Source organism: Homo sapiens, chromosome 2 (genome assembly GCF_000001405.40).
Source record: "Homo sapiens chromosome 2, GRCh38.p14 Primary Assembly".
Taxonomy (NCBI): domain Eukaryota; kingdom Metazoa; phylum Chordata; class Mammalia; order Primates; family Hominidae; genus Homo; species Homo sapiens.
In genome coordinates, this window is record NC_000002.12 from 66,128,015 (window position 1) to 66,142,164 (window position 14,150).

Consider the following 14,150-nt stretch of genomic DNA (forward strand, 5'->3'; position numbering starts at 1 on the left):
GCAGTTTGCAAACAGTGACCTGGCCTCTAGCCTGAGCACACCTGCTGTCCAGGCCCTTCTCTGGACCCTTCCTCCTGTGCTTGAGAAGACAAAGAACTGAAAATCCCTCTGCGGTCAGAAGTCCAGGACAAGTAACAATCCCGGCCTTCTCAGTTCTAAACTCACCTTTCTAAACTCTGAATATTCATCTCATTAAAATATTTTTTCCTGTCAGAATTCGGTTTCAGAGAAAGACAGTTAAGTAGATCAAAAACATTAATAAATCAGAGGAGGCTCGAGTTAAAAAATCGCTGAATTGAAGCTACATTGGGTCTCATCCACCATGCTGCCCACCTGCCTGCCTTTCTTCCCTCCCTCCCTCCCTCCTTTCCTCCCTCCCTTCCTTCCTTCCTTCTTTCCTTTTTCTTTCTTTCCTTCATGTGTGTCCGCCACCTACATTTTACCTAAGGTATGAAATGTGTCTTACAAACAAGTGTGTACGTGTGTGTGTATGTGTGTGTTTCCGTATGCGTTCACCTGTCCCCTGGAATCTTCCCACAGGTGGAAGCTGGCACGATTTAAGGCTGACATTAGTGGGCTTTAACATACAGACCACTCAGACCACAGTGTCTGGGGGCATGGGAGGATGCAGATTGGAAGCTGCTTACGCTGCTCTCCAAACCCCACTGGGAAGAATGACTGTGGCTCCAGCCCATCCTCTCAGGGTTCCTTCATTCCCCTTCTTTAGTGCTGGATGGAAGAATTACAAGGGCAAAGGGTTCCAGGCAAAGAACTGAACCCTCCGAGAAGTTGCTCACTTCTCCAAAGTGGTGTATTTCTTCTTCCCAGAAGATCATTGTCTCATGTCACCATCATCTAGGAGTAGGCCTCTCTGTGCAACCTTTCATCTTCCACTGAGGAAAAGAAAATGTTTTGACTCTGGGAGAAAGAGGGTAGAGATGGTCGGGGCTCCCCTAGGGCCCCTCTGACATCCAGGTCCCATCAGCTGGTTTGGGGAAGCAGTGCCTGCCAGAGGGCAACTCATGAGCAGGACGAGGTACCCACAGATCACAGCCGCTAAAACACTGGTTGAGTCTGGTCTGTGAATTGAACCTCTTATACTAAAAATATTATTTGTTGTCTATCTGAAATCTAAATTTAACTGAGCATCCTGTGTTTTTATTTATTAAATTTGACACTAATTGGATGTCTGCAGGAAAAACAGAGAGGACATTTACACCTGTGGAGCAATACTATTCTGCGCTGTTAGGGGCCAGGAATGGCAGGAATACCGAAACCATGTCTAAAGAGCATTGAAGAACCTTCTTGGAGCTATCAACAATACTGCTATTGTGCCTTGCTAGGGAAGACAATCATAGCCAAGAAAAAAATTGAGAAGTCTTCTCTCTTCTTTTCTCCTCACATCTGGTGAATACATCTTTAAGTGTTCAAACAGGGACTTTTTTTTTTTTTTCAGTAATAAGTATACTGGGGCAAAAGGTGTAAACCAGGACAGTTCCAGGCAAACTAGGCTGGCTGTTTGTTCACTCTAATTAACCACCAAATTCAGTATATGATGATCCATTGTCTTTTTGAGCTATCAACTCCCTCAAGATGGGGATCTCTGAATAATTCTTTGTTAAACTAAATTGAAAATTACTTAACTCCCTCCCTTTTCCCACCATATGTCCTCCCGGGTTTTTGGATAGCCGGAGGTTTATCTGTCCCTATGCAACTGAACTGTAAGCCAAACTTCCTTCATGCCTGTAAGGAAAGCTGAGAAGAATAGGACCAGAAGGAATCCACACTAGCTTACCGAGTTTGGAGGCTTCTGTATCTGGAAACCAATTTGTGACACACACAAATGCATCTGAGGAACTGAGCATTTTAAAGCAGGGCAGCACTTCTCAAGGCTGAGTTGTGTTAACTAGCCAGTGGTTCTGAGGGCAGAGAAACACACACCCAAACAGCAGCAGGTGGTTGCACTGAGCCAAAAACTCACCCCTTCTGGAGAGGGTGGGGGAAAGGAACCAGCTCAAGTCTGTCAATAAATGCTGTGTGACCACCTTCCCTAGCCCTGATCTGCAGTAATTTGATTTTTACTCCCAAACCACTTGTTTTGTCTCCATAAATTTAATGTATTTAATGATCCAGTCCCTACAAAGTTCTCTCTGGTGGGGATTTTGAGGAGGAAGTGGCAAGGAGTCATCACTGGCCTCCAATTCTGTTTTTGTCAACCTCCATCATCCATTCTGCAGCGGAGAGCTCTCCTGCACCGTGGGGCAGGCTAGTTTCTCATGCAGACAGCCCCAGGGCCCTGCTGATGTCCCAAAAGAGCATCATCAGCTTCCAGTTACACACATGTGGCAGTTACACACGTGGACTGTTTTTTTTTTTTTTTTTTTTTTTTTTTTTTTTTTTTAGCACTTTTCAGATAGACTGCATTTCCCTGTGGATCTGTAAATAAAACCTGTAGGGCCAAGCACCTTGTCATCAGGTACCCAATGGAGTGGGAAATTCACCTTTCCTTTTACAGTTTGTTTGAGACGTAAGATCAGTGTAGGATCAACAATCAAAAGACTCAGTTGGACCAAGTTATTGAACCCATTCTAGCTTGGAGGAGTGAGTTGCTGTAAGAAGGATAAAGTTGCTAAGTTTCAACGTGAAAATCTGAGCAGGCAGAACAGAGACACCCCGAATGCTGATGAAGGCTGTAACTTGAAAGATGGATTCACCCTCGCCGATTTTTTTCAGGTGTTTTAAACTCTAAAGATGTTATAGTCTATGGCGGAAAATTGTGTGTTTTGAAAAAGTCTGAATTTGATAATAATTTTATCATTTTTTTCCTCTGGTATAGTTCAGCTTTTTAAAGTAGTGATATCAGAAGTCACTAAGTTATATTGCACATTAAAGGTGATAGTAACAGCTGTTCATGGCTGAGAAGCAACCCTTTCTCAGGCTAGCCAGAATTCATTTTATTGAAAATGAGTCTATGCTTATCTCCTTGAAGGTTTTCATGGTGATTTCAACTAATATGTGGAAGGGAAGGAGGGGAAGAGGAAAGACTCGGTGATGGCTACAGCAGGCAAACCATATGCCACCGCATGGGCCTGAGGACAATCTCGGACGTCTTGCAAACAATCACCCACACAAGGTTTTGTTGTTGTTGTTGTTGTTGTTTGATCTTGTTTTCTTTTTCTTTTTTTTTCTGTTTGAGATGGAGTCTTGCTCTGTCATCCAGGCTGGAGTGCAGTGATGCGATATCGGCTCACTGCAACCTCTGCCTCCCGGGTTCAAGCGATTTTTCTGCCTCAGCCTCCTGAGTAGCTGGGTCTACAGGAGCGCACCAACACACCTGGATAATTTTTGCATTTTTAGTAGAGACAGGTTTTCACCATGTTGGCCAGGCTGGTCTTGAACTCCTGACCTCAGGTGATCCACCCGCCTCGGCCTCCCAAAATGTTGGGATTACAGGCATGCGCCACTGCGCCTGGCCTGTTCTTGTTTTTTTAATGAGTTAGTGGCTAACATGGAAGGGGGAATGCATTTTTGCATAAAAATCCACATTTCTGGTACTTCCCTTGAAAATACAAAAGATCTATTCACTGGCACTAGGTAGGGGCTGTGTCTTTTTAATTGCTTCCTCCTCTTGTTGCAAACTGACCTAAGCTATTTGCTGTCCACAAATGTTAAGTTTGGCTGAGTCCCTTCCACTCTCTATTACTTCTTAATGCTGACACCAAATACCAGTTGCCAGTGATCATACTTGAGGTAGTGGTTTTCTTAGGCTCAGAAGCTTCAACCATTTATGTTTCCTGCCTGGGCCCTCCATCTCCAGTGAAGAGTGATTGGATTTGTCCCCAAATATCTGCCTCAGGTATGCCTGAAATTTCCCCATTACTACTCATCGCTTTGGGCTATTTAACTCCTTATGTCATCCATCCTCTATGAAAATCAACGCAAATACTTCTGAAAGAGGAAATATAGTGTTACTTTTCTAACATTAAATTGGTATGGATTTAATGAGATCACTCTTTGCCTACTTGTGTCCAAAAAGAAACATTTCTCTTGTAGAAAACTGGGTTGGATGGCAGGGCACCGCCCAGAGTTATTCCAGGCCTGTGGAATAACTCTTCACCTGTTTTTAGGGAAAGTGCCTCCAAGTAAATGCTACAGGAGGCAGACCTGGAGCATGGTGGGGAGGGGTGGAGTAGGTACCACCTAGAGCATAGAAAGTGTCAAAGTGCTTGTGATTTAGGGGACCCAAAGAATAACAGTCTTCTTCCTTGCCAGAATTCAGAATGAGATAAGAGGTAGTAGGCACAGAATTTGGACAAGTAAAGATCTGACTAACAGCTTTTTACTTATTAGAACTGAATTAAAGAACATGGCTTAGATGTGGGGACCAGATGGGCTTGCTAACACTCTGCTGCTGTGAATCTGATGTCCCCCATGAAATCAGCGGCCTCACTCCCAGGGTGAGGCCTTTTCTCCATGGCCCACAAACAGACACCTATATCTGTGGGCAGGTGTGTGAAGAGAAAAGGAAGAAGAGGGGCCTGAGCCAAGCATGACCATTTCTTCTTTCAAACTCCTGGTCAGTTAACTCACCACTTTTCAGGAGGCAAGTGCTGGGGTGATCAATGAATGAGGAGGGGGAAGAAAACCACAGTACCCCATGGATTTACTATTGTGGGAAATGAGTAGGTGCTTCTAATGACAACCTATGGGTTGTGCAGTTCTGGAGCCAGAGAAATAGATTCTTTGCCATCTGAATGTTCCTCTTGGCAAATGGAAGCCCAGAGCACTGGTCCAGGTGAGGTTCTAGAATAGGGAGAGTAAGAAGTGCTGGACCATGGCTGTGGCATTTAGAGCCATGAGATTGAGAGAGTCCAGATGGAAAAGAAGACTTGGGAAAGAATATGAGCATAAAATGTCTCCATGGATACAGGCCACAGGAACAGCAGGGAAGATCCAGAGGGTTCTGGAGGGCGAGGAGGAGCAGGATGGAGCCTGTTACCAGAAGTACTTGAAACCTCTTACTGAGACCCTTCAACCTCTCCTCTGAGGAGCTGTCAAGGGGAAGAGGACAGCATCTGTTTTTATAACTTCCAAGTGAACATAGTCCTCTATTTTACACCTAATAGGTGCTCATTAAATTATTTGGTAGTTGAATTGAAGAGACTCTTCTAAAAATTAGTAAAGCAAAGAAAAGTAGGCAAAAAATGAATAATCCATAGGCTTAACCCTTCTAAGGAATGTATGTAGTTTAAAAGAGGATCTGGTTGTAGTAAATTCATGTGTAACTGATAGAATATGCAGACATGTTTGGACTCAAAGGTCTTATGAGAAGTTTGAATTTCTTCCCAACATACACACATTCCCTAGAAGTCCAAGGTTAGCAATTTGGTGCCATACTTAGTCAAATCCCTTCCATTGTTTGAATTTTATGGCTTCTTCTAGGGAAGATCAGCTTTCCTCTCATTTTTGGCATTGGTCTGCATATTAAGATCTATAGATCTTATTAGGTCTTAGAAATACATATTCATGACAGCAATTCCTATCTGGAGGATTTATTAGGATATTTAATGTTTGCCATAGTAATAGAGATTAAAAGTAGGGCCACCACCTCAAAACTCAAATCTCCTTACAGAATTATAGAATTCACATACATCACAGAATCCACATAAATTGCAGAATAACTGCCATATATGACAATTGTGAAGCCAATGGAATGTGATGCAGTGAAGTTAGATTTTATGTTTATTTTGCCTTTTTATCAAGTAAGTGGAGAGTTGCTGATGTCAGGAAAGTTTCTAATTGAGAATCCCTAATGCACAGTGTCCTGATGAGTGGCGACCTTCTCAGCGAGGACTGACAACCACACGGGTTCCTACTTCATGACCAGACCAGGGTCACCATGGAGACATTTCTCATTGGATCAGCTTATTGTAAGTATTAGGTTTCAGCCTTTGAGCATATATTGCTGGTTTTCAGTTACTTATAGCTTTAGAACATCTGCTTTTTCATAGCAAAGAAAAAAAAAAAGCAAGAAGACGAAAGAAGAAGGAAAAAATCTCTTAAGGAAGCGTTTAAAAGTTGAACTGATAGATTTGGCAATTTTCATTTGTGGCAGCAGTAACAGGCTTTACAGGGGCAGTATGACTCCAATATTAAAGAATAAACGCTTTAATATTGTTAAATACATCATAGCAGGTTTTATAGCAAACTTCACAATAAAGTCAGATGTTTCAGTATCAAAAAGTCACACACATTGCTTTAATGGTATCTACATGTTATGGATCGTAACGGCCTGTTATGACATCATCTGTTAGGAATTTACTATGAATGCATGAGGAGGTGGTTCAAAAAAGCTCCTTCTAATAAGATGCCATGGAGTGTAACTACATCTAATGACAATTGGTCAATTGTGAATAAAGTATTTTCAAAGAGGACTATTGCTTTAAGCTCTATTAAGACGTTAATGGGGCTTAGCAAGAAGTCTCCTTTCTTGCCTACTATTCTCTCATCTGAAAAGCCACAGTCCTATGAGACTCTCCCCAGCTCCCAGAGACTACATTGTTTGGAAGGCAGTTGGAGATCATTTTGGCTGCAGACAAGGTTTTCAATTTAGCAGCACAACAAACTTTGAAATTAATGCTGCACCTAGAGGTGATTCAGATGGGCTGTAAGTTTTTAAGCTCCTTCCTGTGAATTCTATCCTCTTTGTCTCTCTGCTTTTAGATGCCATAGGAAACATCTGATTGAAATGGAACTCACTGACCTAAAGCTCCTAAAAAAAAATTTTCTAGGTCAGTGACAGACAAGTTGGCTGCTTCAAAAAAGGTATTTACTGTAATTCTGGAGATCATATTGGGTCGCAAACTTGCTGCCTGTGAGTGCAATCCAGCCCACAGGTTCATTCTGTGTGACAGGCACTGTGTTTAAAAGGTAAGAATTGGAGGGCCTTTAGGTGGGAAGTGCCCTCTCCAGTTTACAGCGAGCCTCATCATTTCCTATTGTCCTAGACTTAGCCGCATGACACATTACATGTCACCTGCCAGGCCTCTAAAAACGTGAAAATCATGACCTTCAGGCATTCTGTTCATGGTCCATCCATGTGCCCTGTGCCCTAGGTTTGACTTGAGGTTTCTCACCGATGCTTCCCACAGCTGGGCCTTGTTCCTCACAAAGAGTTTCTGGTGAAACCAGAGTCATAAAGACTGGATTAAGAGGAAAGTCCAAGGAATCCCAGGATCTAAGAGCTTGCAGGAAAACTTAAGAATTTGGGATCCTGCAACCCCTGATGAGCAACCTGAGACACAGAAAAGGGAAATGCCTTGGAAAGGTCAGCCCCAGAAGGAAGAGAGCAGAGAGGGAAACCCAGGACTAGTGATTCCCCATCCTGTATGCTTCACCCACCACCCCACGCAGCTGGCCTGAATGATTGGTGTAGCCCTTCCCCACATTCCTAGAGAGTGTGTCTTTTACAAAGCCACCGTCCACACATACAGAGTGGCACCAGCTATGCAACCAACCCCTCTTACACTAGACCGCTGTGTCTGGTGACTTGAAAGTCAAGGCCAATGTGGTCACACTAAGGCCACTAAGTCTTAAAGAAAAGTACTTCTCTATCATTGGCAGAGAACTTTAGGCTGGAGACAGATTAAAGTTTAAAACAAATCCAAGGAGTCAACTTTGTAGACAACACAGGTTATTTAAGCCTCTGTTCCTTCTTTGTTAGAGTACACTGAAACTTTTCTTCAGAGCTGACCCTGGAAGTAGGCAGAAAGGTTGCTGTCTCTTTAAGTTGCCTTAAACTACCTCAGGAGAGCTTCCATCAGCCAAAAATCCCCTTGTAGAGCAGCCCTTCCATTCTCAACCAAGGCAAAAATACTTGAAATTCAGTTAATAGCAATTCATTCATATGAGCTAAATGTTGCCCCCTTGAAGCATTGTGCTTTGTGAAAAAAAAATTCCTGGAAGGGGAGAGGTCTGGATTGGTTGGCTCAATTAGCTTTTCTTGTGAGTGGAAGGTATTGAGGGCAGGGAGAACCCTGAGAATTAGTGAGAGGCAGAAGAGCAGAACAAAGAGGTGTTGAGATAGGGACATTGGCAAACAAAGAAGCTAGAGGTAAAGGGGTTAACGAAAGAGATATCCAAAGGAAACCACTGGTGTCATAAAACAGTGGGGGCATCTACGGGCAGGAGAGCATGATCGGGCCACTGAGGCTGCTCTACGAGGGGTTGGCTATAGCCTCCCACCCACTACCCTTGAAATTCTTAGTCCCCAACTCCCACCAAGATTTTCAGCAAATACCTCCAAGGAGCTGAAAGAACACAAGAACCTGAAGTAGTAACTCAGTGGCTGGTCCATGAGCTTAATAAGTATCTGTTGAATGAATAAATCGAATATTTCCAGTGCGTCCCTCTGAAGCCATCTTGATTGTTAAAGCCTTCTTGCTTGGTCTCTAGAGCATTTGATCAAGGGTGTGGTGCCTATGAAATAGGTTCTAATTCCATGAGGTGTGGAGTGGAATGGACCTGGAATCCGTACTTTGCATTTTGTGGGATTATCCTTGGTTGAAGTTGTTTCTCACGCCAGTGGAACAGAGGCTTCATTCATAATTCATGCATTTGACATCTCTGTCAAGTATTGCTTACCAGATGGGATTCTCAACAGTAACAGAAACAGAAAGCAGGTTGCTGCATAGAGTTGGAGTGAAATCACAGGTGGAGGTATGGTATGAACTGAAGTTTTCTAGTTAAGGCAGAGACCTTTGAGAGGTCACTGAGTTGCAACCTCTGTTGGTTCTACAAGGTAATGAGAGGCGAAGATGAAGCAATAAGACAGAAATGCTACCTCTGGAAGCTGATGGCCACTGCTGTCTTCTGGGAGGGAAAACAAGGCCTAGAATGACTAAGAGGCTGCTTATTGTTACAGGTTAACCCTGGAGTAGAATAGGCCCAAACCAATATTGCAAGGAAAATGGGAAGGAATAGACACAGGAAGTGTATTTGTGTGTGTGTGTGTGTGTGTGTGTGTGTGTGTGTGTGTGTGTGTGTCGGAGACGGAAGCAGGGCTAACCCATCAGCTAATCATTTGGCTGCAGTAGAAGGGAGATGAGAACTGCTTAAAAGATTTGAGGCTTACAAAACTGAGATAACTATTATATTAGCAGCAAAAACTAGGCAATTCTGGGAAGGAGAGAGTGAGCTGAAACTGTCTTTGGATAATTTAGAACAGAACGAGCATATCTTGTTTGATTTTTCATTTTACTTTGGTCTTTTGCCATGGTAGAATATTATATACATTCAATGGAATTTTGTATTAGGAAAGTGTTAAATGCATCAAAATTTCCATGTAGACCAACGTCTCATGCATTAGGGCATTTATGGGGTGAGGGTCAGAAATATGTATCCAAAAAATGCCTATTTCTTAGTTCACAGTTTTATCTTCCTCATCATTTCTGCTATGAAGCCAACATTTTCTCAGATTTGGAATACTTTTCTCACTCGTGTACTCATATACATACATACATATATATATAAATAAATCTCTTTCCAGACACATAATTCCAGGAACTTTATAATGCCTTTGTTATTAGTCTTTTGATAAAATTTTCTAATTAAGTCAGTGTGACACTCGGCCAAAGAACAGAATTACTTCAGAATATCCTCATGTTTCTTTTTTGGTAGAGTTTACCCTGAAAGCAAGACAAAGAAATCAATTTCAGCTGCCATTAGAGAGATTTAGGTTGGACTGGGAGAAGAACTCCCAGACTGCAAGAACCTGGCAGAAGCGCTATGTGGGGAACTTAAAATCCTCATCTCTAGGGAATTCTAGAGAGAAGTGAAACCACCACTCACATACAGAATTGCCTTAGTGAAAATAATCGTGTCCAGGAAAATCCTCTTTGTTTCAAAAATTTTAACGACCTTCAATTCTATATTGCCACACTATCTCATGACTTGGCTCAGAAAGCATAAGCATTTTCATAGTGAAATGTGGAAGACATTGTTAGTACCCGTCCAATCTGCATTCCCCAATCCCTGAAAACTGATTTCTCCCCCACCATAATGGGTCCTAAAATTCATGTGGTGCCATGTGGCCCTGTTGGGGTCCCATCACCACCCACGGAAGGGCTGATTGGAGTGGGATAGCCATTCAATCCAAGAGGTATTATTCAAGCAGATATAAGCCAATTCTATTCTCTCTTCCGGGGTGTGGCATCAGGACTGAGCAAGCAGACCAGCAATGGTTAAGAGCACAGACTCTCGAGCCAGGCTGCCTGGGTTTGACGTCCAAATCTACTACTCATTTGCTATGGGAATTTAGACGTGTCACTTAGCTTCTCTGCCTCAATTTTATCTGTAAAATGGGGATAAACATTATAGTTTAGATGAGAGGATTAAATAAGTTAATACAACATGTAAACTGCTTGGAGTAGAGTCTGAACTGTGGCATCCACTATCTATCTGAGGGTTGGCTAATTTGTGACCTTGGCTGGTCACATGAATTAAAGAGCTGTAGGTCTGGGAATTGAAGACACTGTGGAATGATCAACTTCAGGCTTGGACCTGAATAAGGAGGGAAAGACAGTCTTCAGGACAAGATGAAAAAAAAGAATGGAGTGAAAAGGCAAATCAGGAGACCAGGAAGGCCTACAGATAGAGCAGGTGCTTTGATTTTTCATGGTTTTCTGGCTCCTGGTTCTGGTCTGTCCTAAGTCTGAACTCACTTTAGCCTGTTCAGTTCCATGAGATACCTATCTGTCCTTATAAGAAATGCTACTCTTTTGGCTTACACTAGTTTGAGAGAGTGTCTATTACTTGAAACTAAGAATCCTTGGTGAGGAGAGTTAGATTTACACTCAATTGCCCTTGAACACAAATTTTAAAGCAACCAGAACAGAAAGAGTACTTCAGGGGAAAGACACTGCAGATTCCATTTTATTTTTTTTGTTATTATACTTTAAGTTTTAGGGTACATGTGCACAATGTGCAGGTTAGTTACATATGTATACATGTGCCCTGCTGGTGTGCTGCACCCACTAACTCCTCATCTAGCATTAGGTATATCTCCCAATGCTATCCCTCCCCCCACCCCCCACCCCACAACAGTCCCCAGAGTGTGATGTTCCTCTTCCTGTGTCCATGTGCTCTCATTGTTCAATTCCCACTTGTGAGTGAGAATATGCAGTGTTTGGTTTTTTGTTCTTGTGATAGTTTACTGAGAATGATGATTTCCAGTTTCATCCATGTCCCTACAAAGGACATGAACTCATCATTTTTTATGGCTGCATAGTATTCCATGGTGTATATATGCCACATTTTCTTAATCCAGTCTATCATTGTTGGACATTTGGGTTGGTTCCAAGTCTTTGCTATTGTGAATAATGCCGCATAAACATACGTGTGCATGTGTCTTTATAGCAGCATGATTTATAGTCCTTTGGGTATATACCCAGTAATGGGATGGCTGGGTCAAGTGGTATTTCTAGTTCTAGATCCCTGAGGAATCGCCACACTGACTTCCGCAATGGTTGAACTAGTTTACATTCCCACCAACAGTGTAAAAGTGTTCCTATTTCTCCACATCCTCTCCAGCACCTGTTGTTTCCTGACTTTTTAATGATTGGCATTCTAACTGGTGTGAGATGGTATCTCATTGTGGTTTTGATTTGCATTTCTCTGATGGCCAGTGATGGTGAGCATTTTTTCATGTGTTTTTTGGCTGCATAAATGTCTTCTTTTGAGAAGTGTCTTTTCATGTCCTTTGCCCACTTTTTGATGGGGTTGTTTTTTTCTTGTAAATTTGTTTGAGTTCATTGTAGATTCTGGATATTAGCCCTTTGTCAGATGAGTAGATCGCAAAAATTTTCTCCCATTTTGTAGGTTGCCTGTTCACTCTGATGGTAGTTTCTTTTGCTGTGCAGAAGCTCTTTAGTTTAATTCGATCCCATTTGTCAATTTTGTCTTTTGTTGCCATTGCTTTTGGTGTTTTTGACATGAAGTCCTTGCCCATGCCTATGTCCTGAATGGTAACACCTAGGTTTTCTTCTAGGGTTTTTATGGTTTCAGGTCTAACGTTTAAGTCTTTAATCCATCTTGAATTGATTTTTGTATAAGGTGTAAGGAAGGGATCCAGTTTCAGCTTTCTACATATGGCTAGCCAGTTTTCCCAGCACCATTTATTAAATAGGGAATCCTTTCCCCATTGCTTGTTTTTCTCAGGTTTGTCAAAGATCAGATAGTTGTAGATATACGATGTTATTTCTGAGGGCTCCGTTCTGTTCCATTGATCTATATCTCTGTTTTGGTACCAGTACCATGCTGTTTTGGTTACTGTAGCCTTGTAGTATAGTTTGAAGTCAGGTAGTGTGATGCCTCCAGCTTTGTTCTTTTGGCTTATGATTGACTTGGCAATGCGGGCTCTTTTTTGGTTCCATATGAACTTTAAAGTAGTTTTTCCAATTCTGTGAAGAAAGTCATTGGTAGCTTGGTGGGGATGGCAATGAATCTGTAAATTACCTTGGGCAGTATGGCCATTTTCACGATATTGATTCTTCCTACCCATGAGCATGGAATGTTCTTCCATTTGTTTGTATCCTCTTTTATTTCCTTGAGCAGTGGTTTGTAGTTCTCCTTGAAGAGGTCCTTCACGTCCCTTGTAAGTTGGATTCCTAGGTATTTTATTCTCTTTGAAGCAATTGTGAATGGGAGTTCACTCATGATTTGGCTCTCTGTTTGTTATTGGTGTATAAGAATGCTTGTGATTTTTGTACATTGATTTTGTATCCTGAGACTTTGCTGAAGTTGCTTATCAGCTTAAGGAGATTTTGGGCTGAGACAATGGGGTTTTCTAGATATACAATCATGTCACATCTGCAAACAGGGACAATTTGACTTCCTCTTTCCCTAATTGAATATCCTTTATTTCCTTCTCCTGCCTAATTGCCCTGGCCAGAACTTCCAACACTATGTTGAATAGGAGTGGTGAGAGAGGGCATCCCTGTCTTGTGCCAGTTTTCAAAGGGAATGCTTCCAGTTTTTGCCCATTCAGTATGATATTGGCTGTGGGTTTGTCATAGATAGCTCTTATTATTTTGAAATACGTCCCATCAATACCTCATTTATTGAGAGTTTTTAGCATGAAGGGTTGCTGAATTTTGTCAAAGGTCTTTTCTGCATCTATTGAGATAATCATGTGGTTTTTGTCTTTGGTTCTGTTTATATGCTGGATTACATTTATTGATTTGCGTATATTGAACCAGCCTTGCATCCCAGGGATGAAGCCCACTTGATCATGGTGGATAAGCATTTTGATGTGCTGCTGGATTCGGTTTGCCAGTATTTTATTGAGGATTTTTGCATCAATGTTCATCAAGGATATTGGTCTAAAATTCTCTTTTTTGGTTGTGTCTCTGGCAGGCTTTGGTATCAGGATGATGCTGGCCTCATAAAATGAGTTAGGGAGGATTCCCTCTTTTTCTATTGATTGGAATAGTTTCAGAAGGAATGGTACCAGTTCCTCCTTGTACCTCTGGTAGAATTCAGCTGTGAATCCATCTGGTCCTGGACTCTTTCTGGTTGGTAAGCTATTGATTATTGCCACAATTTCAGATCCTGTTATTGGTCTATTCAGAGATTCAACTTCTTCCTGGTTTAGTCTTGGGAGAGTGTATGTGTTGAGGAATTTATCCATTTCATCTAGATTTTCTAGTTTATTTGCGTAGAGGTGTTTGTAGTATTGTCTGATGGTAGTTTGTATTTCTGTGGGATCGGTGGTGATATCCCCTTTATCATTTTTATTGCCTCTATTTGATTCTTCTCTGTTTTTTTCTTTACTAGTCTTGCTAGCAGTTTATCAATTTTGTTGATCCTTTCAAAAAACCAGCTCTTGGATTCTTTAATTTTTAAAGGGTTTTTTGTGTCTCTATTTCCTTCAGTTCTGCTCTGATTTTAGTTATTTCTTGCCTTCTGCTAGCTTTTGAATATGTTTGCTCTTGCCTCTCTAGTTCTTTTAATTCTGATGTTAGGGTGTCAATTTTGGATCTTTCCTGTTTTCTCTTGTGGGCATTTAGTGCTATAAATTTCCCTCTACACACTGCTTTGAATGCATCCCAGAGATTCTGGTATGTTGTGTCTTTGTTCTCGTTGGTTTCAAA